We start from the raw sequence: 23682 nt of genomic DNA, 5'->3' as shown, positions 1-23682 counted from the left end.
TCAGTGATCCTGAATGAATGAGGAGATCACTTCTGTGTTTTAAGATTCAGGCCTGCAGTAACAGTCGCTGGTTTCTTAAGATGAAAAACACCAAGGTTGCCTCCAGATAATCAAATTTCCTTTACTTTCTATCTTTGCCAGAGCAACCAGCTGCCTTTAGAATTTTCCACCCAGATTCTTTTAATCTACCCAGTTTGCTAAACCTGGCTTAAATCTGAAGCTTACCTGGATTCAGTGTCTCCTCATCTGTTATCCCTACTGTAAGCAGGACTGGATCAGTCAGACCCATGCCAGTGCTCTTATCGTTTTTGATCCCAGGAAGTCAACTATGTCTTTTCTATGACATGGCCTGGGTCTCGGACTGTTTTGTTACATCAAGTCTTTGGTCACCAGCTTTGCCTTTACACCCAAGACTGAGAAATTAGCACTCTTCTGTGTGCAAAGAGAAAGGGAAAGTAGGCTACTGATAAGTCTATAAAATTGTGATTCATTCATTAAATTTCTAAAATTTAAGAACTAGAGGAGTAAAATATTCTGCCCTTTTCACAGCAAATAGCAGGCCCTAGGAATACTATTATCCCAGAGTTGTACAAGACAAATATAAAGATCGCCCTCAAAGAACTTGAATTTAGTTAAGGAAGGCTGGATTCATTATTCGCTAAAGGAAATTTATTAATATTCAGTGTTGTTAACATTTGAAGATGATATTGAAGGGCAGCCAGCCTTTTTCACTAAAGGCAACTCTTGGCATTAGACTGTTGGCCTGAATAAATAATTACTTTATATGAGGCTTGTTTTTTTGGTTGTTATTCTTTATATACTCTTTACTTTGTTAAGTAGTGTTATTTTTATGCCTTTTTCATGTTTTCTTCAGACTATGCTGAAAGAGAGGAAATTAGTTCTACACCTTCATAGCTCTACCATAATAATAATAATGCATATTATTGAACACATCTGAGTAAATGGTTGATGTAGATATCCCCATTTAATCCTCAAAACAATCCTATGTGATTGATACTATATGCATTTTGCAGATGAGGAAATGGAGGCGCACAGAGACTGAGTAACTTGCTCAAGTTCCTGTGGTAGGAACTGGCACTCCAAGATGCAAACTCTGTCTGTCTGATTATAGAACCCACATATTTAGCCACTTCTTACACTGTCATTGAAGGCTACAAGGCCACACTTTCTGATTGTGTGCCTTCTTGGGAAAGTCCAGCCCAGGAAAGGCTGGCATCTATCTTCTCTTGAGACTTTATTTCAGGGCTATTTTAGCAGTGTTGTCAATATCTAAACCTGTCGCCTGATGAGATTATTCCTACTGTAACCAGAAACCCAGAAAGTAAAGTTAATAAATCCTCTACTCATGCCCAGGAACTTAGGAGACTGAATGTGAAGAAGGCCAAAGCAGATTTAAAGTGATTGAAATGACAAAAGGTGAAATGTGAGTGAAGTGAATGAATTACAAAAGCGTGTATGAATAGTATTACACAAGTGAAGCAAATTCAATATCAATTCAATTTCTGACCACGTGCAGAGGGAAAACAAGGGTAAAGGAGCAGAAGAGTCAAGGGTAATGAACAGCTTTATTACTTTTTTTCATTGTGCCACTACATATGAATTTTTGTTGCTATTTATTAACATGTAGAGGTTAAAGTTTTTGTAAGATCTGATCATAAAATTATGGAAGGCTAAGTGAAGTCCTGCAATGGAGAACGCAGTCTGAAGTCAGGTTACAACAAAATATTAGCTGCGTTTCATATTGTAAAGTGCTGAGGATATTTTAGAAATTAAACATAAAGGCTTTAATACAAACATGCTGGGTCTTGTTGGGTGAGTCCATTGTTCCTGTCTGTAGGCGAATCTCTTCTAGGTTATTTGGGGGAATGGTAGAGTTTCATACTAAGTCATCTTTGCTGTTCATGGTGTATAATATTCAGCTTTAAGCAATATAAAAAGACTTACCCATCTAAGCAAACAATTCTCAGATGACTCCATTCTCCATCTCCATTTGAATTTAGACTGGCCTGGGTTTGAGTCTTGGTATCCCACACACAAGGTGTGTCCATAGGCCAGTTGTTTAGTGTTAGCTTTTTTTTTCTTTTCTTTTCTTTCTTTTTTTTTTTTTTTGAAACAGGGTCTTGCTCTGCTGCCCAGTCTGGAGTGCGGTGGTGGAATAATGACTCACTGCAGCCTCGACCTCCTGGGCTCAAGCAATTCTCCCACCTCAGCCTCCTGAATAGCTGAGACTACAGGTGGGCTCCACCATGTCTAGCTTATTATTATTATTTTGTAGAGACGAGGTCTTGCTATATTTTCCAGGCTGGTCTCAAAATTCTGGGTTTAAGTGATGCTCCTGCCTTGGCCTCCAAAAGTGCTGTGATTACAGGCATAAGCCACTGTTCCCAGCCAGTTGTTTAGCTTTCTGAGCACCACTTTCTTTACTGTAAGATGCAAATAATTGCTACCTTGGAGGATTAGAAATAATATAGTATCTGGAAAGGGATTTGTAGAACCCCCAGTATACAGTAGGCCCTCCATGAATGACAGCAAATACAATTACATAAAGTGCACAATGCCGTGCCAAGTACATACAGAAGCTTAATACATATTAGTTGAAGGAGTTTAATAAATGAAGGACTAGAAGCTATCTTCAAACAATAAATTTGCTTTTAATTTGTAGCTTCTTGTTTCCATATTTAAAATGTGACTCTAATAGTGGCAATTGCACCTGTGCTATTGGTGAGGAAGTGGAATAAAGCATGACCCAGAGGTTCAGGAGATTCTCGATGAATACACCAACTTTCATTGGTCCTTAAATTACTATGCATAGGTTGCTATTTATTTGAAATATTTATAGAGACTGACTTGGTTGCAGATGCTCTATCAATCTTTCAGGGCAGGGGCTGAATCAAGATAAATGTAAATGGCTGACGTGGACAGGGTTTTAAATAAAAACATCGATACTTACACATTCTACTTATTAAACACATAAGACTATTCCTACACACACACACACAGAGGCACAATAGTCTCTCTCTTGCATGTTTCTTCAAATACATGGACTTCTCTTATTTTCCTACTTTTGATAGAGACAGGGGCACAGAGAGATCTTTCTCTACTATTAGAAAACCGTAAGTGCCAGGGTGATGTTAAATAACCTTTGTGCCATAGGGAGCACTGATGACTATATGCTGGCGGACATTTGTCCTTTGGAAGAGAACCTGCTCAGCGTCAGCTGAGTGTCACCATAGGACAATTTGAGCATAGTGTAAGAGCTTCTGGTTTCTCACAAGAAACCAAAAACCAGGGGTTTTGTGTGAGATTTATTAAATTTCATGATTGACACAAATATTTTTAAAACATCACGTGGATGAAATAAAGCCTTTTGTCAGCTGAAGGTGGCCCAATGATTTCTGTGATCTTTCTTCTAGATCTGGCTTCTCTAAAGTACTCCATGCTTTAATCAGCTAAGAGTAGGAGAATATCTAGGTTGGAATGCAAGGGACTTCATGGTCTGAACCTGTATTCTGAGCTCAATCAGCAGTGGGAGGAACTAGATATGGAGGCTGGAAACTGGAAAGTAGGCACAGCCCTGAGAACGGGCAGTGGGGCGGTGAAAACTTAGCAGCAGGTGGGGCAGATGTTTCAGAGGGCGTGTTAGGAACTCAGCAAGACCTAACAGAGGGGATAGGTGGTGGTGTGGGGGCAGACAGTGGGGACAGACTCAGCGTGGTGAAGAGAAGGTAGTGGATGTCTGTCTAGATGGCCTGCCTGCACACACTTAGTAGGAGGATTTCTGAGAGGAAAAAGGGATGGAGAAGGGCCGCATAGATATGATGTAGAGCTGCGAGCTGGAGACTTGGTTTCAGATGTGGAACAGAAGTGATTTTAGAATAAATGGCATGATGCAGAGTCACTTGGGTTATGGAATGAGGGCTCTATAACCCACTAGCTCTCATTCAACAATAACAGCAGCCATAACCCCGAAGCCTAAGACAGGGCTGAGCCTGCGAGTTGTGGAAGAAACTAGAACTAGCTAGAACTCCGGCTAGAATTCACCTGTGAGCGAGGGATCAGGAAAGTCAATATGTTAAGAATACAGAATAGCTTGAGGGACTGCTGATCTTTCTAGCAAGAAAAAAAAAGTATTAATATTGAGAACACCTGGAAGCATGTACACAATCCATTTTCATTTCTGGTGAGAGCACAGGGTGGAGGGCCTGAAGGAAAAATCCCAGGCTGTTCCTAGGAAAATTCCTTTCTGAAAATGACTCAAAAGACTTTGGGCCTTTGAAAAGCAAAAGATGTCCTAAGCACTTTGTAGCTGATTCCCATCTAGCAGTTAAGCTGCCATTTAGACCTATCTGGGTATGTTTTGTGAATTGATGGGCTGGGCCTGCTAGACAGCTTTTCACAAGAGGGATTGTTAAGATTTTTGGTAAAGAATTTATTTAAAATGAAGGGAATGCAGAAAAGAGTAGGTTGACTCAGAAAGGGAATCTGAAAATGTCGGCAGTGTCAGGGCAGCAGGGTGATGCAGTATAGTGACTATCACTGGGAATCTATCTCATGGATTAGCACAGGCGCAGGTTCCACTGGAATCATATATGAGTTCTATGGAAAGTAGCAGGGTTTTTTTTTTCCCCCTTAGAAATTGTTTCACCATACTACTAATTATCAGGAAAAGGCAAATTAAAACCACAATGAGGTAATACCCGACTCCTGCAAAACTGGCCATAATTAAAAAGTCAAAAAATAATAGATATTGGTGTGGATATGGTGAAAAGGGACACTTTTACACTGTTGGTGGGAATGTAAACTAGTACAACCACTATGGAAAACAGTATGGAGATTTCTTAAAGAACTAAAAGTAGAGCTACTATTGGATCCAGCAATCTCACTACTGGGTACCTACCCAAAGGAAAATAAGTCATTATATGAAAAAGACACTTGCACACACATGTTTATAGCAGCATAACTCGCAATTGCAAAAATATGGAACTAACCTAAATGCCCATCAACCAACAATAAAGAAAATGTGATATTTATACAACATGAAATACTACTCAGCCATAAAACGGAATAAAATAATGGTTTTTGCAGCAACTTGGATGGAGCTGGAGGCCATTATTCTAAGTGAAGTAATTCAGGAATGGAAAACCAAATATCTTATGTTCTCACTTATAAGTGGAAGCTAAGCTGTGAGGAGGTAAAGGCATAGGAATGATACAATAAACTCTGGGGTCTCAGGGTGAAGGATGGGGGTGATGAGGGATAAAAGACTGCATATTGGGCACCGTGTACACTGCGCAGGTGGTGGGTGAACCAAAAACTCAGAAATCACCACTAAACAACTTATCCATGTAACCAAAATCCACCTGTACCCCTGATATGGTTTGAGTGTGCCCCACCCAAATCTCATCTTGAATTCCCACAAGTTGTGGGAGGGACCTGGTGGGAGGTAATTGAATCATGGGGACAGGTCTTTCCCATGCTGTTCTCGTGATAGAGAATAAGTCTCACGAGATCTGATGGTTATACAAAGGAGAATTTCCCTGCACAAGCTCTCTTCTCTTGTCTGCTGCAATGTGAGACGTGACTTTCACTGTCTGCCATGATTGTGAGGCCTCCTCAGCCATGTGGAACTGTGAGTCCATTAAACCTCTTTCTTTTGTAAATTGCCCAGTCTCGGGGATATCTTTATCAGCAGTGTGAAAAAAGACTAATATAACTGGCAAAACTATTGAAATAAAAATAAAAATTTAAAAATTGTTTCACCAAATATTCTGACAAGAAGTAACACTGAGTAGAATCTCATTGGAGAAAAACATCCACCAGGAAATTCCTCCCCACCTTGAAATAGACACTTGTGCAGCTTTGGCTCATCGAAACCCTAACCTGTTGGTAGGAGCAGCAATGCTGGGTGGCAGATCTGGTGTCTGGCAGGAGATGGCACCTGCTAGGGATGAAAGTGAGCAAAGCAGGAGAAGAGAAAAAGAACTGTTGACAGTACAGCTGAGCAGAGTTTTCCTGAGTGCATGAATGAGGCATGCTCTGCAGACAACTAGAAGTATTTGGAGGACAAGAGGAAACTGAAGTCCTGCCTGAGTAAGCCTGGGGAAGGAATACAAATGATTTCTGTTCACATGAACCTCTCTGTGCTTACTATCTGCTAAAGTTTACTACAAACTTATATTCCATTTTTAAGTCATGACACAAAACCCCCATGCTTTTCCATTATCAAGTAAGTGTAGTCAGTGAGGCCTTGCCACTTGTGAAAGATCTGAGCTGTTCTAACAGTATTCGGTGTCATCTCAAAATTTAGTGTTCTTAGGTTCTTTGACCTTTGGATGGCACTTCTGAGAAGCCACTCTGGCCTGTGACATTATTTATCATTTAGGACGTAAAGAAACTAATCCATTTTATTTAACGATTTGTAGAGGTAGATGCACAGAAGTGCACACCTGCTGGCAAAAACACACACACAGACAAAGGAAAGCAGAACTATATAGAAAAAGAAATAAGTATGTAGGAACTGCTGGTCATGCAATTCATTGTTGAGACCCCGGGTCTCATTTATCTCACTGATAGACTATTTAAAAAGAGACTTTGCAGGACCATAGCTGGAAAAGGTGTAGAAAATGAAACAATTTGTTTTGTGTCCCACTTTTAAGACTATGCATAAAATTAAGTGGCTTGTTAAAAGACTCATGTCAGAAAGATGTGCTAGCTTTGTAAGAAAAACACTGCATATGAAGCATATTAATTTTTCCTTTCTGCAAGCCTTTTCTGGAATAGTGTTTAGATCAAGAAAACAGCCAGAAAAGGAATAGTAATACATTGTTAGGCAATTATATTATAAAATTTTACCCCCTTATATAGGGTCTCTTTGGCAGGCACTCACAGTCCTGTGTTTTTCATTATAAGTGGCTTACATCAGTACTGACATCTTCCAGATGTTAGTAGCTTTGATTTTTTTCCCTCGTGTTGCAAACGAGTTGGCATGGAAACAACTCTTTGCTGGCAACATGACATATGATTCAAGGCAAAATGCATTTTAACACAGATGAATAGTTCAGGAATCTGCCTTTAACAAAAGTCATTTTGAGAGCTGTTTTGAATCTGTTGGTGTTTTGTGACAACTTTTTCAACTTAGATGGGAGAAATCAAAGCATTTCGCGTTATGCAACGTAGCTGTTGCTAAAATGTGATTTGGCTCTTAGGCTGAATAAACCCTTCAAGTTTAGAAATGGACTTTAGGTATAAGGAACCTAAAAAAAATCTTCAGTGGAAATTACCTGCTTGTTTTAAATCATGAACCTTCTAAAACAAACCAAATACGGACTGGCAGTGTGCTGCTCTTCAAAGTAAGAGCTAGTGCTATAATTATTTCAGATGGTTTGAATTTTTTTCCCTTAAGAGGACTGTAGAGAAAGGAGGAAAAATTCTCTTCACTGTGCCTTGCTAGCTACCATTGTTCACCCACTCTACAATCTCTTTACCAGAGAGCCTGGGAGCACAGGATGTTCTAGATGCCCTGATGTCATTCCTTCTGCTTGCTCCAGATACTAGAGAATTCAAGTGCTTGTTCGTTTCCTGTTGTCCTCTCCATCTGAGCACAGGAAGAACTGCACTTCTTGGCCTCTTTGCAGGAAAGAGAGCTTTGTGACTAGCTCTGGACAGTAGGCTGTAAGTGGAAATTAGTTGTCTATGCAAAATCCTTCAGCGCCCTCTTTCTCTCTGCCCTAGCAATGAGAGATCACATGTTTCAGGCGGTGCGACTATTAAATGCCATTAGCTTGGGTACTAGTGACTCTGCTGAGTAGAATCTCCAAAGACTACCCATGAGGGATATGTAGCAGGGTGTGAGAAAGAAACTTCTGTGTGTGTGTTAAGGCACTGAGATTTTGAAATTCTTCATGACCACAGCTACCTCAGAGAATGTTTGAGCCATGATATATGTTAGATATCATCCAGTCCAGCCCCTCATTATGCAGATATAGAAAGTAAAGCCCAGAGAAGTGAGAAACGTGCCCAATTATTACACAGCTAGTAAATCCATAAACCAGGGGCTATAATTCTGCTTGTAGGAGAAATAAGACTAGTCCTTAGGCTTTTCCTCATGGGACTATTAGGGTGTTCGATTTGCATATGCTACCCTAACCTAGTCATTCCCAATCAAATCTTGGTTATCATGAAAATGCATATTATATCTCGTCTTCTGTCATCCCCCTATCAACAAGACACCTATGCCCAAGAGACTGGATAGGAAGGTATGATGAGCAAGAAGAGAGTTTGTGTAGAAGAAAGCACATATAGCTCTATTTTGACTACTTCATGGATTTTTTTGTTACTGGTAAATTTAAAATTAAAATAAGAAACTGGGCACAGTGACTCACACCTGTAATCCCAGCACATTGGGAGCTGAGGCAGGAGGATCCCTTGAGCCCAGGAGTTCAACACCAGCCTGGGCAACATAGTGAGACCCCATTTCTGCAACAACAACAACAACAATAACAACAACAAACTAGTCAAGTCTGTGGTCTCAGCTACTAAGGAGGCTGAAGTTTGAGGATTGCTTAAGTGGGAGAGATTGAGGCTGCAGCGAGTGACAGAGTGAGATCCTGTTTCAAAAATAAATAATAAATATTAAATTAAAATAGAAATAAGTAAATGAAAAATTTTGAAATACTGATTGAAATTGAACTGGTAGTAATTTGTCCACTGAGGGAGAATATAAAGTGGTGAAGAGTGGCAGCCACGAGCCTTGCTGGGCCTTTCTCACTTCATTCTCATCATTATTTCTAATGAGTCCCACTGCCCTGTCTACATCCATGATGCCTATAGTTGGAATATAAGCGCCTTATATTAAGCATGTCATAAAACCTCTTTAAAAATGACCACAGTTTACCTTTCTAGTGTCAATTTTAGAACCTCATACTGGCTCCCCACTAATTATTATGCATCTTCTACTCCAATAATGTATACACTTGGTTGCAGAGTCCAATCTATAACCTAAAATTGTCATTTGTAAATTTTGACATCTTGAGCTGCATTTATGTTGCGCACAGAGTCCTCTTTGTCTACTTAGATATTTTCTAATCATCTTTCATGACAGTTCTTAAAAATTTCCTCCTTGAAGAGGTCTTCTTCAACATTCCTGGGCAGAGTAAGCCACTCCTTCCTATATAGACCTCCATATCACAGCTATGTCACTTCAAGTTTGTATTTTACTTCCTTATCTATATTTTTACTATTACTGGATCATGGATTCCCCAGGGACAAGAGTCATGTCAAATTCATCTTTGCATCCCCAGATGACTAAACTATAAACACAATGCTTATGCTTATTTTTTTCCTTGTGCAATACAACTTGAGTCAATTTTCAGAGTGTTTTCTAAATGCAAAGTACTGTTCCTAGGCTAACAACATACTTAAGACACTGCTTCTTCTCTCAAGAACTTACCATTTTATCTCATTGATATATACATTTTGAATAAAGACTTCTAGGGAGCTTGTTGTTTCTTTAATACAGCAAATTTGTGGCATATTCTTGGACTCATTTACAAAGTCAGCTTGCTCTAAACAACTACCATGATGTAGTTATTATTATTATGTGTGATATATTGGCATTTAAAAGTTTTTAAAATATGGCTACAGTCTCAATAAGCCATAATGCCTGTGAACATGTATTTCATATACTGTATATAACCACCGATCTTTCAAACAGCCTGGTGAGGCTGGGACGTGTAAGACAGCCATAACCCTGGGATTTAGAGTCAGAATATATGAGTTGCAACATCTCTTCTGGCACTTCCTAGCCATTATCACCCTGGATTAAATGAATTTAGATATTATAAGAGACTTAGAAAAGTTTTGAAGATTAAATGAATTTAGATATTATAAATAATGAGACTTCAAAAAGTTTTTCGTACATTGTAAATGCTCAATAAATTTTAGCTATTGTAATTATTTCATACATGAAAAAATAAAGATCAGAAAAATTAACTAATTTCCCAAAGATCACAGAATCAGATGTAACCTTAGGTCAGATTAACATTAAAGTCCTTGCTGTTGTCACTACAACGCCTCCCTCTCCATAGAAGCAGACTGGCTCAATGTACCAAAACTTCATGTGGGTTATCCAAACTTTAATTGGTCAGCTTCAAACTGATGGTGTACACTTTACCTATTACTGCCTCCATTTTATCATGTGCAAAATAAAATGACCCAAATGTTCAGTAGCCTATTAATCAACATGTAGAAAATGTTTACGGTTGGGGCTCGATAAGCAGAGAAGCAGTGTATGTAGTGGAAAGACTTCAGGCATCTGAGTTTGAACCTCAGTTTCTCATCTGTAAAATCATAATAACATCCATAGGCAGATTTGTTTTGAGGATTAGAGACAACACAAGAACAGTGCTTGGCACATAGTAGATGCTCTGTAAACAACAGCCATTATTGTCACTACTACCGTCAGTGCCAGTAAGTTTAGAGCAGCTGTCTGTAAGTTCAACCACAGGGAAAAGATGAGCTTTGCACATGCCTGAGGGCCACAACTCAGTGAGCTACTGCTTAGCCTGTTTATTTATGAAAGTTTTTTATTCCATTTGTGGCTGGATTATGGTCTTAAGGCAATGACAGCGCTGCTGCTTGGTGTTAATTTCTGAGCAGTAATGCAAATTGATGGAGCACAAGACTCAGGCCACCAACTGTACAGAGTGATTCCCTCTGCCATCTGACTGTGAGCTTAGCACCAAGAATTCACATAAGGAGAGACAGCGTGAGGGGCCAATCTTTTGGCTCTGTGCTTGAGAGATGTTTTCCTGCCACAGAAGTGGAGCCTATGGTGAGTGATTGGAGTCCATGTTGCTAAGGCAAAGCAGAAAATGATTTCTTATTAGTAGTAGTGGTAGCATTAATAATAACAATAGCCATGAAATAACAAAACAGTCCCTGTCTTTGAAATGTAGAAGAGAAATAATTGGCCCAGAAAGACATTATCAGTTGGAATGTTCCATATTTGCTTGATTTACCATCTTCAAGCAGTTCAAACAGCTTTGCACAATAAACTTAAATGCCCAAAATGTCCTGCTCCTGCACTGAAGCGTCTTTTATATACTTGTTTCCATAGTTTGGAACACTCTTGCTGCAAAAACAAGAAATCAGAATAGGCCCAATTTATTTTACTGATATTTGAAGGTAATTTTTCCCTTAATGAATGCATCTGTTTGGATGATAAATTGTCCATTAGACAATGCTCAAGTGTTTTTATGCTCTCTGTTTTGATTATGGAGCTTTTAATGTAGTGTTGCCTCCACTCTTTGAATTTCTCTGCAATTCAGTCATCTGCCAAAGAGAATTGACTGAAGAAAATGCCAGACTGATTTTCCTTCCTTAAGTATTTTAATTTATTAAACAAATGACCTAATAGATTGCATAAAGATGTATTTCTCTGCTTTATGCTGACCTTATTGAGAGTTAATCAGTTTTATAACGATAATTAGATGTCAGCATTAGTATCCTGCGTGTACGTAAAGATAATGACTCCAGCACACAGCACGCAGCACACGGCACACAGCACACATAATGACCAAGACTTGACCCAACACAATCACAAGAATTTCTGAATTTGCTCCACTTTTCAAGGGGGTGGTGTGCTGCTTACTTACTTTCAGAATCATGAGGAAAAATGTTCTATGTAGTGTGAGCAGAAGATACATACAATGTGGGGAATTAGTTACACAGTTGCTATTTCTGTCATATTGTTAATGGCAATTACACATCTAAATTCCCCTGTAGCAATAGTTCACAGTGGGCACTGGAAGGGAGTAAAAATGCATGAGAGAATTTAAATAATGTACGACATGGTGACTATAGTTAAGAGCGATATATTGTATTTTTGAAAAATGCTAAGAGAGTGGATTTTAAAATTTTATTTCTTATTTTTATAGCTTTCAGGGGTATAAGTGCAGTTTGTTACATGGATATAGTGCATAATGATGAAGTCTGGGCTTTTGGTGTAAACATCATCTAAATTGAGCTTGTCCAACCCTCAGCCCGCAGGCTACATGTGGCCCAGGATGGTTTTGAATGTGGGCCAGCAGAAGTTCGTCAACAACATTATGAAATTCTTTTTTGGAGATTTTTTTTTTTTTTTTTAGCTCATCGGCTATTGTTAGTGTTAGTGTATTTTATGTGGGGCCCAAGACAATGCTTCCTCTTCCTCCAGTGTGACCCAGGAAGTGAAAAGATTGGACACACAGAAAAATAGTGAACATTGTATCCATTATGTAACTTCTCATTCCTCACCCCCGTCCCACCTTCCCACCTTTCTGAATCTCCAGTGTCTATTATTCTACTTTCTATGTCCATGTTTACACACTATTGTTTCCACTTATAAGTGACAGCATGCAGTATTTAACTTTCTGTGTCTGATATATTTGAGAGTGGATGCTAACTGTTCTTACCACAAAAATCATAACTATGTGAGGTAATCCATAAGTTGATTAGCTAAAATTAATTAATCCACAATGTATGTATACTTCAAAACATCATGTTGTGTGTGAATGAATACATAAAATTTTATCTGCCAATTAAAAAAATAAAATAGTAATAATTTTAAAAGAATTGAAATAATGAATAGTACTGTGTATTATTCCATTTTCATGCTGCTGAAAAAGACATACCTGAGACTGGGAAGAAAAAGAGGTTTAATTGGACTTACAGTTCCACATGGTTGGGGAGGCCTTGGAATCATGGCGGGAGGTGAGAGGCACTTCTAACGTGACTGTGGCAAGAGAAAATGAGAAAGATGCAAAAGCGGAAACCCCTGATAAAACCATCAGATCTGATGAGACTTACTCACTATCATGAGAACAGTATGGGGAAACCACCCCCATGATTCAAATTATCTTCCACCGGGTCCCTCCCACAACACGTGGGAATTATGGGGGTACAATTCAAGATGAGATTTGGGTGGGGACACAGATCCAAACCATATCATATGGTATTTTAGTTTGGTTGAATTTTAAACTACCTTTGGAAATGAACACATCTTTATCTTACATAAACACTCTATATATGTAGGCTTCCTGTCAAAATTGGTATATGTTTTACTTCAATATGGGCTCTACTGCCAGTGCTAGGAAATGGTATTTGACAGTGATGTCCAGTTCCATTGGATCTTCCTGGAGAAAACTAAGTAATGATATTAAGTTACTTTGACAAGTAGCTTTGCATTTCCTAAATGTTTATTCCACAGTATCATTTAGCACCCTGACCTACTAGAGAAGTAATCTTCATGACACTAACTTGCGTAAATGAAGGCCAAAAAAACAAAAAACAGAAAACTTCCCCGTGCATCCTGTGCTGTACGTCATCGAAATTCAATATGCTTCTCAAATAGAAATAGGTAAAACACGTGCTTATATCTGACTTTTCCATTTTTTAAACCACTAGTTTATACACTGTAAAAAAGCTGCAGAGTCCCCCCACCACCAAAGAAAACCCATTTCATATTAAACTGTAAAATTAAGCCCCCCCCACCCCATAATCCTAAAACATTAAATGGAGCTTCTTAAGTTGAAGAAGGGGTGGCAAGACTAGGGTAGACCTCTTCGTAACCCTAACCTGCTACCACACAGGGTCCCCGGAGGCACATCTGAAAAATTTAGGGATCCTAGGAGCACAGTTTAAAAACCATAGTTTAAAATATTTGTATGTCACAATAATATTTTAACAATTCTTCCTCAACAAAAGAGAGAACAATCAGTAAAACTGACCTTTTGGATGGACTAGTTTTAACCATAAATAATTAATTCATCCTTCTTTACAGCTGAGAGCACTTGTTTCCCAATCAAGGAATGGCTTGGAATATTCTCTATGATGTAGTTGTTAAAAACCACCCCTTCTTCAATAGGTTGGATATGAAATGTCCCAGGTGTTGAAGGTCTAGAGCACTTGCTCTGTGTCATTACTGCCATGGCGTGTGCATCCGTTGAGGTAGCGTTGCTATATTGGCAACTCACTAAACTGTTAGTTGTGCGAGGGCAGAGACCTCATCTTGATCTTCCCTGAAGTCTGGTCCAAGCAGACCATCTTGCTGAATGAACAAATAAAATCTCTGGGGTCTGATCTCCGGCTTACACATTTCCCCTATCATGATCCTGAAGTCTTTCCACTGGACTATGAGTACTCCTTATTTTATATTTTCTTTTAGATGATTCTTCATTGATACTCACCAAAATGTATAGATCTTTTCCATTTAATGTTGAAACATTTTGAAAGTCTGAGAATGGAATTTAATAAGATCAGTTGGAAATAAGCCTCCCCATTTTTATTTTTATAGTTCATAAAAAATAATTCATTCAATCAGAATGAACCCCTCTTGATGTATTACAGTTGCAGTAGGCATCTTCAGAATGGCTCCTGAAAAGAAGTCCTAAATAAAAACTTCAAAATAAGAAGCATTTTCCTCTTGCCTGAAAGGCTTTTCATGACACAATGAGGCTGCTGTCCTCCAGGAGTTTATAATCTCTTCAGATAAATAAAACAGATATAGAAATTATGACTAACAGTGTGTGAAAGATATTCCAAACTAATGATACAGAAAGTAAGCTAGAGAAATTCAGAAATAATGATAACATTTCATTTGGTACCTGAAGCCTCACATTCACATTCATAATTATTTAGATATTGTATTCATCTGTTTTCATGCTGCTGAAAAAAACGTATCCGAGACTGGGCAATTTACAAAAGGAAGAGGTTTAATTAGACTTACAGTTCCACATGGCTGGGGAGGCCTCACAATCATGGTGAAAGGCAAGGAGGAGCAAGTCACATCTTACGTGGATGGCGGCAGGCAAAGAGAGAACTTGTGTGGGAAAACTCCCATTTTAAAGACCATCATATCTCATGTGACTTATTCACTATCATGAGAACAGCACAGGCAATACCTACCCCCATGATTCAATTACCTCACACCAGGTCCCTCCCACAATAGTGGGAGTTCGAGATGAGGTGTGGGTGGGTTCACAGCCAAACCATATCATTCCACCCGTTGCCCTTCCCAAATCTCACATCCTTATATTTCAAAACACAATCATGCCTTCCCAACAGTACCCCAAAGTCTTAACTCATTTCAGCATTAACTCAAAAGTCCACAGTCCAAAGTCTCATCTGAGACAAGGAAATTCCCTTCTGCCTATGAGCCTGTAAAATCAAAAGCAGGTTAGTTACTTCCTAGGTACAATGGGGATACAGGCATTGGGTAAATACAGCCATTCCAAATGGGAGAAATTGGCCAAAACAAAGGGTCTACAGGCCCCATGCAAGTCCAAAATCCAGCAGGGCAGTCAAATCTTAAAGCCTCAAAATGATCTCCTTTGACTCCATGTCTCATATCCAGATCATGCTGATGCAAGAGGTGGGTTCCCATGGTCTTAGGCAGCTCCACCCCTGTGGCTTTGCAGGGTACAGCCTCCCTCCTAGCTGGTTTCACAGGCTGGTGTTGAGCATCTGCAACTTTTCCAGGTGCACGGTGCAAGCTTTTGGTGGATATACCATTCTGGGGTCTGGAGGATGATGGTCCTCTTCTCACAGCTCCACAAGGGATCACCCCAGTGGGGACTTTGTGTGGGAGCTTCAACCCCACATTTGCCTTCTGTACTTCCCTAGCAGAGGTTATCCATGAGTGCCCCACCCCTTCAGCAAACTTCTCCCTGGGAATCCAGGCATTTCCATACATCTTCTGAAATCCAGGCAGAGGTTCCCAAACCCCAATTCTTTTTTTTTTTTATTATTATACTTTAAGTTTTAGGGTACATGTGCACATTGTGCAGGTTAGTTACATATGTATACATGTGCCATGCTGGTGCACTGCACCCACTAACTCGTCATTTACCATTAGGTATATCTCCCAATGCTATCCCTCCCCCCTCACCCCACCCTACAACAGTCCCCAGAGTGTGATGTTCCCCTTCCTGTGTCCATGTGATCTCATTGTTCAATTCCCACCTATGAGTGAAAATATGCGGTGTTTGGTTTTTTGTTCTTGCGATAGTTTACTGAGAATGATGTTTTCCAATTTCATCCATGTCCCTACAAAGGACATGAACTCATCATTTTTTATGGCTGCATAGTATTCCATGGTGTATATGTGCCACATTTTCTTAATCCAGTCTATTATTGTTGGACATTTGGGTTGGTTCCAAGTCTTTGCTATTGTGAATAATGCCGCAATAAACATACATGTGCATGTGTCTTTATAGCAGCATGATTTATAGTCCTTTGGGTATATACCCAGTAATGGGATGGCTGGGTCAAATGGTATTTCCAGTTCTAGATCCCTGAGGAATCGCCACACTGACTTCCACAATGCAAACCCCAATTCTTGAATTTTATGTACTCACAGGGTCAACACCATGTGGAAACTGCCAAGGTTTGGGGCTTACACCCTCTGAAACCATGGCCTGAACTCTACACTGGCTCCTTTCAGCCACAGCTGGAGCAGCTGAGATGCAGGGCACAAAGTCCCTAGGCTGCACACAGCATGGGGACCCTGGGCCTGACCCACAAAACCATTTTCTCATAGGCCTCCAGGCCTCTGATGGGAGGGGCTTCTGTGAAGACCTCTGACATGTCCTGGAGACATTTTCCCCATTGTCTTCGGTATTAACATTTGACTCCCCTTTATTTATGCAAATTTATGCAGCTGGCTTGAATTTCTCCTCAGAAAGTGGGTTTTTCTTTTCTATCACATTGTCAGGCTGCAAATTTTCTGAACTGCTATGCTCTGCTTCCTTTATACAACTGAATGCCTTTAACAGCACCCAAGTTACCTCTTGAATGGTTTGCTGCTTAGAAATTTCTTCTGCCAGATACCCTAAATCATCTCTCTCAAGTTCAAAGTTCCACAAATCTCTAGGGCAGGGGCAAAATGCTGCCAGTCTCTTTGCTAAAGCATAACAAGAGTCACGTTTGCTCCAATTCCCAACAAGTTCCTCATCTCCAACTGAGATCAACTCAGCCTGTATTTCATTGTCCATATCATCATCAGCATTTTGATCATAGCCATTCAACAAGTCTCTAGAGAGTTCCAAACTTTCCCACATTTTGCTATCTTATTTTGAGCCCTCCAAATTGTTCCAACCTCTGCCTGTTACCCAGTTCTAAAGTCGCTTCTGCATTTTCAGATGCATTTCAGCTGCACCCCACTCCTGGTACCAATTTACTGTACTAGCCTGTTTTCACACTGCTGATAAAAACACACCCAAGACTAGGCAATTAACAAAAGAAAGAGCTTTAATTGGACTTACAGTTCCACATGGCTGGGGAGGCCTCACAATCATGGTGAAAGGCAAGGAGGAGCAAGTCACATCTTATGTGGATGGCAGCAGGCAAAGAGAGAGCTTATGTAGGGAAACTCCTGTTTTAAAAACCATTAGATCTCATGAGACGTATTCACTATCACGTGAAGAGCATGGGAAGACCTGCCCCCATTATTCAATTACCTTTCACCAGGTCCCTCCCACAACACGTGGGAATTCAAGATAAGATTTGGGTGGGGACACAGCCAAACCATATCAGATACTGAGGAACTTAAGCAACTGTGTAAAAGATCCTAGGCCAAGAGAAAATGGATTTCTGTCTCTCTGCTTTAAAGTAAAAACTTTGGGAAGAAAATGTGGGATTTTTTTGCCCACTGTTAAATTCTTGGTTGTTAGTACAGTGCCTGGCACATAGTAGCAGTTCCTTAAATATTTGCTCAATAAAAGAATAAATGAATACAATGCTATGCCACTCAAATCTTCTATCTAACCTTGAAACCCCAAGGAGGGAATTAATACATTTCAAGTGATAATCCACTCTTGATAGACAGAAAATATCAGGCAATATTCAATGGTTGACATCTATAATCCAGGCATAAATGAGGGAGTGTCTTAGAGTTAGAGTTAAATGGTGAGAGGGCTTGCTTATACAGGAAATATTTTAAACTACATTCAGTACTTATGCTTTTGGAATGTAGATTTTAATGTAGCCTGGAGTAGAAGTAGAGAAAAGATTATGGTGGCTCATAAAACCTTCTCCACTTAATTCAGTCTTTACAAAACTCTTTGGACTCACAGAAACACAGGGATGAAAATTATGCTTATGAGCGTTTTTACCTAACTCAAGGGTGAGTTTCATTTGTGAGGTGGCCTTAATGAGGAATAAAGAATGGTCAAGAAGACAAGAATAATGAAAGGTGAGTGTGTGAGGGCCTGAGGGAAACACCTGGCTAAGTTTTGTGATCTGCTATTACCTAGGGTGAATCTACAAATTTGAATATTGTGTTAATAATTACTGTTTTCAGCCACACAGCTTATCAATTACCAAGCTAACTGCCATTATGAGGAGCTCTTACCATACCAAAAGTATGTTGAAACTGCAATAGTTAGCCTTAGAGATGAATGATTATACAGATGCATTAGTAAACATGAACATATATAATTAGTATACATATGCATCACATAAGTATTTAAACATTTCTTCTGTTTCAATAACTAGATCATTTATGCCTTGAGGTCAGTAAATTTTTCATTTATTTATTCAACAAATATTTCCTGAGTGTCTACCATGGGACAGCCAGGCACTGGTGTAAATGATGAATAAGTCAAATGTGGCCCTACATTCTCGTGGAGATTAGCCTGGAGGAAAAGATGAATAAATGAGCTTTTGCATGAAGTGTCTCACTATGTAAAGTGATGTATTATGGGGAGTACAGGTTACTTTAGTGACATGTAGGAGGAACATCTAATCTGTGCTTAGAGTTGGGAAGCTACCAAGAGAAAACTAGTCTATGTAAACTGAGGCTGGAGAGAGGAGAAGGAGTTGGGCAGGCTGATATGTCCTTTACAAATCTTCATAGCATCCAGCATGGCATTGCACATAGACTGGATGCCAAATGATTTTATTTGATTTAAATTCTTTATTTTTGAGCGCTTGCCACAGATTCAGCTTTGCACTAGGAATTGGAAGAGATTCAAGGGAGTGTAAGAATTCATCTCTGTAATTAAGCATTCTACAAATTAGTTAAGGAGAAAAAGTGCATACATTGTTCTCTAATTGTTTTATACACAAGAGGATGTAATTAATAACTACATGCATGGTATAGGCAATAAGTACCATTGTAACCGCCCAATGGGTTCACCTTGCCCGCAGCCTAGACAGAGCCGATTTATCAAGACAGGGGAATTGCAATGGAGAAAGAGTAAATCAGGAAGAGCCAGCTGTGCGGGAGACCAGAGTTTTATTATTACTCAAATCATTCTCCCTGAGCCATTTGATGATAAGTGTTTTTAAAGATAATTTGGCAGGTAGGGGCTTGGGAAGTGGGGAGTGCTGATTGGTCAGGTTGGAGATGGAATCATGGGGGGCAGTGGGAGTCGAAGTGAGTTTTTTTTGTTTGTTTGTTTGTTTGTTTGTTTTTTGCTGTTTTCTGTTCTTGGGAGGGATGGCAGAACTGGTTGAGCCAGATTACCACTCTGGGTGGTGTCAGCTGATCCATCCAGTGCAGGGTCTTAAGCACTGATCTTAGGTTTCACAATACCGATATTATCCCCAGGAGCAATTTCGGGAGGTTCAAACTCTTGGAACCAGAGACTGCATGACCCCTAAACTGTGATTTCTAATGTTGTAGCTAAGTTGTTAGTCCTGCAAAGGCAGACTGGTCTCCAAGGAAGAAACGGGGTTTTTCAGGAAAGGGCTGGTTCCAATTTGTTTCAGAGTCAAACCATGAACTGAATTCCTTCCCAAAGTTAGTTTGGCCTATGCCCAGGAAAGAACAAGGACAGCTTAAACGTTAGAAGCAAGATGGAATCAGTTAGGTCTGATGTCTTTCACTGTCATAGTTTCCTCAGTTATAATTTTGCAAAGTGGTTTCACTATGAAACAACAGGAAAATGAGAGATTAAAATAAGGGTGAAATTAAAAAGTGGGAAAGGGAAACAGCATAGAAGAAAATAAGCTTGAGATGAATTATGGGACAGGCAGAATTGATGGGGTACGACTTGGTACGGGGGATGAATGTGGCAATAGAGGAGAATGGCTGCAGAGACTTCAGGTCCAATATAGCAGAGGGTGTGAGTTTAGCTGCAGTTTTGACTGAATTTTATAGGTCATGGGATCTAATTTCCTGAGTAGGAGCATGGCAAAGACATGTCAATAAGTTGCCAGCAAGGCAAATCACCCCTCTCCTCAACTTTCTTCCTCCCGATGGGCCTACATTTTGCGCAACAGATCTTGAGGGATGGGACAGGATGTTCTGATACAAAAATAAACTGTTAATTGCTTGAAAATAGAAAAAAGATCTTAGAAGATAAAGGCCTGGTTGTCTTTCCAGTGAAGGAAGTAGGAGGAAAGTCCCTTCTAATCCTTCAAGTCTTCTATAGCACAAATCAGAAATACAAATCACAAATTAATATCTCAACAGATTATCCTATCTAATTATCGGGGTTGCTAAAAAAGATAGATATACCTTAGAAAGAATAAGGATAAGGCCAGAGAAAACAGCTCAAAGATGTTGGTGAATAAATACAGGATTGAGAATACAGGATAAGTGGGAGTTGACAGGATTTATAGAAATCCCTATTTATAATAAATGTAAAGGCTTTAGCTTTTAAGATAAAGAAGGTATTCATTGAATTTGAATTCCCTCAGTCATCTAAGGAAAATAGGTCATATCTTGGTGCTGTTTCCTTTTTCTAATCTTCCATGGGGTCTTGCATATGCTGTTACCTCTGCCTAGAATGTTTCCCCACTCACACACCCTGTCTTTTGCCTGACCTTCTTATAGGCAACCTTCACCTTTCAGCTTAAACATGACTTCCTCAGAGAGGCCTTTCATAACTCTTTTGCATCCCTTTGTTATTCCCTTTCATATCACTGTACAACCTATCTTTCATAGCACTTATTGAAATGTGTATTTCACATTGTGTCTTTGTCTTCTGCTAGACTCTGAGTTCCATAGAGACAGGGAGCATTTTTATTTTGTTCACCACCGTATCTTTGGAGCAGGCACCGTTTCTAGAACAGAACATGCCCCCACTAAGTGTTATTAAATGTGTGCATATATGCAGCTGCTGCAGGTAAAGACAGGTGACAGCCTTGCGGGGGAGTCGGTGGAGTGTAATGGTGGGACATTGTCACAGCTTGTGAGTCAGTCAATGGACAATGGCCAAAAAATTTTCTGCCATTGTCAGAAAGCATGGATTTGTATTGGGTTGACTTCTTGCATTCTGGGATCACGGTTCAGGAAAGCCAACTGTGGGGCACATCCTAAGGTTGTTGGTTTCCTGACACAAATCCTAAGATCCACATTTCCTAGATTTGAATAGTTTTAATGTTTCTAATAATTCCTGTTCTTTTTCTATAACTGTTAATACTGTAACATATGACAGGATGAAAACTATTTGGAGTTAAACATTCAGATTAGAAAATTTCAAAATTACCAACCAATTAGTAAGTCAAAGAGGATTTTATTACCGTTTAGTGAGTCTTTATTCTTATTGTCTCTTCCACCAGAAAAGTAAAAGTTATCCTGAGTGGGGTTTCTTCTGTAGATCAAGTCAAGATATCAGGACTATTAACTTGCTTATTTGGAGCCATAGAATTTGTGTTCAGAAGGTTCCTCTTCACATTGTTGTCAGAGCTTCCTGTTTTCAGCACGTTACACACCACTCATCACTCACTCCCTGTGTCAGAACTTTTACACACCACTCATCACTCACTCCCTGTGTCAGAACTTTATCAGCATCCCGAGCTGTGGCTGCCTCTAGTGGATGGAGAGTTTTCCAGCTTACCTAAAAGAACATCAATCATTCTTCATTTTCAGTGTTCAAACTTGCTCATCAGTTAGTAACAACACTTTCTGCAGCCTTGAAAATTATTTCTGAATAAACACAGGGTGGAGGACAGCTAAAGTGATTGACAGCTCATAACTTCTCCAGTGCTTGATGTTTCAAAACCAGTGTATATGCAGATGTCTCCTCATTACCAACGTTTGAATGTCACTTAGTATAGCTGCTTCTGAGAGAAAAATGGCATGGGTTAGATTGTCAAGCATCTTAATGGGGGTTTTGTGTCTGTAGCAGACACTCTAGCAAGCTCTGAACCAAAGTTGAGATTTGAGTAGGAGAAGAGTTATTGCTTGCAGATCAGGTAGCTCACAAAATTGTGATGTGGGGAAAAATTGTTTTCAGTATTTCTTTTCCTTTCTTTATGTTTTCTTTCCAGATCCCCACAACCAAAGCAAGGCTCCCCTCTGAGATACCTGTAAGCCTTCTGAACAAAACAGATGTTCTTCCCCAATAAGGGATTAATCACTGCCATCCCACTCCACTTCCCAGTCTTGGATTTACAGCTACTGGAGCAGAGACAGAGGTGGGAATGGGTGGGGATAAAGGCAGGGGTTAAGAGGAGAGAGGGGAGAGGGTAATGGATTAATTAAATACATTAATTCCTGATAATGAGTAAGATTTGATCATGGATTTTTTTTTTTTAATTTCCAAGCATCTGATGACTTAATCTGGCGAAAATGGCTTTCTCGGGGGGTCATTAAGAATTTTGTAGTTGGCAGGGCATGGTGGCACTCGCTTTTAGATCCAGCTACTCAGGAGACTCAAGGGAGCATCACTTGATCCCAGGAGTTTGAGACCAGCCTGAGTAACACAGTGAGACTCCATCCCTAGTTTAAAAAATAAAAAAGGGAAAAGGAAAAAGAAAAAGAATTTTGTGGCTGGTTTGAGGGTATTTTCTAGGACAGGATGGGCTTTAGGCTTCTTCAGAGGTGTCAGGCCTTTCTGCCTATGCATGACAACTGCTGTATATGCATAATTTGGAAAGACAAGGATGGCTGCTTACTGTTTCTAGCTGACCCCGTATTAGATTTCATTAGATTCCCCCACTTCCTGTGGAGTATATTTGGTATTCACTTGGGCAGTGGCAGCAAGCCTATTGGCATGGAAGAGTGACCATAGTGCTCAACAATGCATAAGCTAATAGCTCATAGTTCAAGTTCTGGGAGGTTTCATCCATTATCAGTTACCCTCCACACTAGAAGAGCCCAAGGCCTAACAATCACTTACATAGTATAATTTTTGGGGCAGTGAAATCAGTAAGGCTATCAGGTTGATATACAGCAGCCCCTAGTAGATTTTAGGTTCTTTGAGAAGAGGGACTATGTCCTGTTTACCATTATTTGGCAAGAACATAGCCCATTACTTGGCTTAGAGTAAGTAAATGATGAATCGTGATTGAATGAACAACAAGACGTTTCCATCCTCTTTGCTTCCCTTCTTCTCACACTCCTCCTTTCCCTCATTTGCAACTCTTTGCTCCACCCCCACTCCCAATACATGCACTCACACTGCCAGTAAAAGTTCAGTGGCACAGAATTTCAGATTCAGTAGTTATTCATTTGAATGAAAGCCACAGATTCTCTTTACTGACAGCATAGTGATTTGAGTAGGTGTATTCTTATGGTTATTTGGATTAGGAGCAAGGATAATGACAAAATAGGAACAGCAAGAGATAGAGAGCACAGTGCTCATGGAAAATACCAGGGCCATCGCTCATGGTGTCTTATAGTCTTAGTAAAAGGGTAAACTCAAAAGGTCAAACTGCTACAGGTTTAAAAAT

General features: G+C 39.7%; 1 long non-coding RNA gene across 2 annotated transcripts in view, besides 1 other annotated feature; it reads right to left on the bottom strand.

The window, feature by feature from the left end:
* Positions 709 to 1676: an enhancer, noted in NCBI's record as "OCT4-NANOG hESC enhancer chr1:97009971-97010938 (GRCh37/hg19 assembly coordinates)". NCBI's record gives its function as "activates a minimal SCP1, AML or CMV promoter by ChIP-STARR-seq in primed H9 embryonic stem cells {active_cell/tissue: H9 hESC(primed)}" and the evidence as "EXISTENCE:reporter gene assay evidence [ECO:0000049][PMID:30033119]".
* The window catches only part of LOC105378866 (uncharacterized), a 41877-nt gene continuing 39942 nt past the window's right edge, over positions 21748 to 23682 (bottom strand). Inside the window, exon 3 of one of the 2 annotated variants that reach the window (XR_947617.2) lies at positions 21748 to 22071. This is a non-coding gene — a long non-coding RNA (uncharacterized LOC105378866). The remainder of the gene's footprint in view (positions 22072 to 23682) is intronic. The other variant, XR_947618.2, reaches the window with a different exon arrangement.

The sequence above is a fragment of the Homo sapiens genome, chromosome 1 (assembly GCF_000001405.40).
Source record: "Homo sapiens chromosome 1, GRCh38.p14 Primary Assembly".
NCBI lineage: Eukaryota > Metazoa > Chordata > Mammalia > Primates > Hominidae > Homo > Homo sapiens.
Note: the sequence above shows the minus strand (reverse complement) of the source record. Positions and strands in the feature narration are given on the sequence as shown.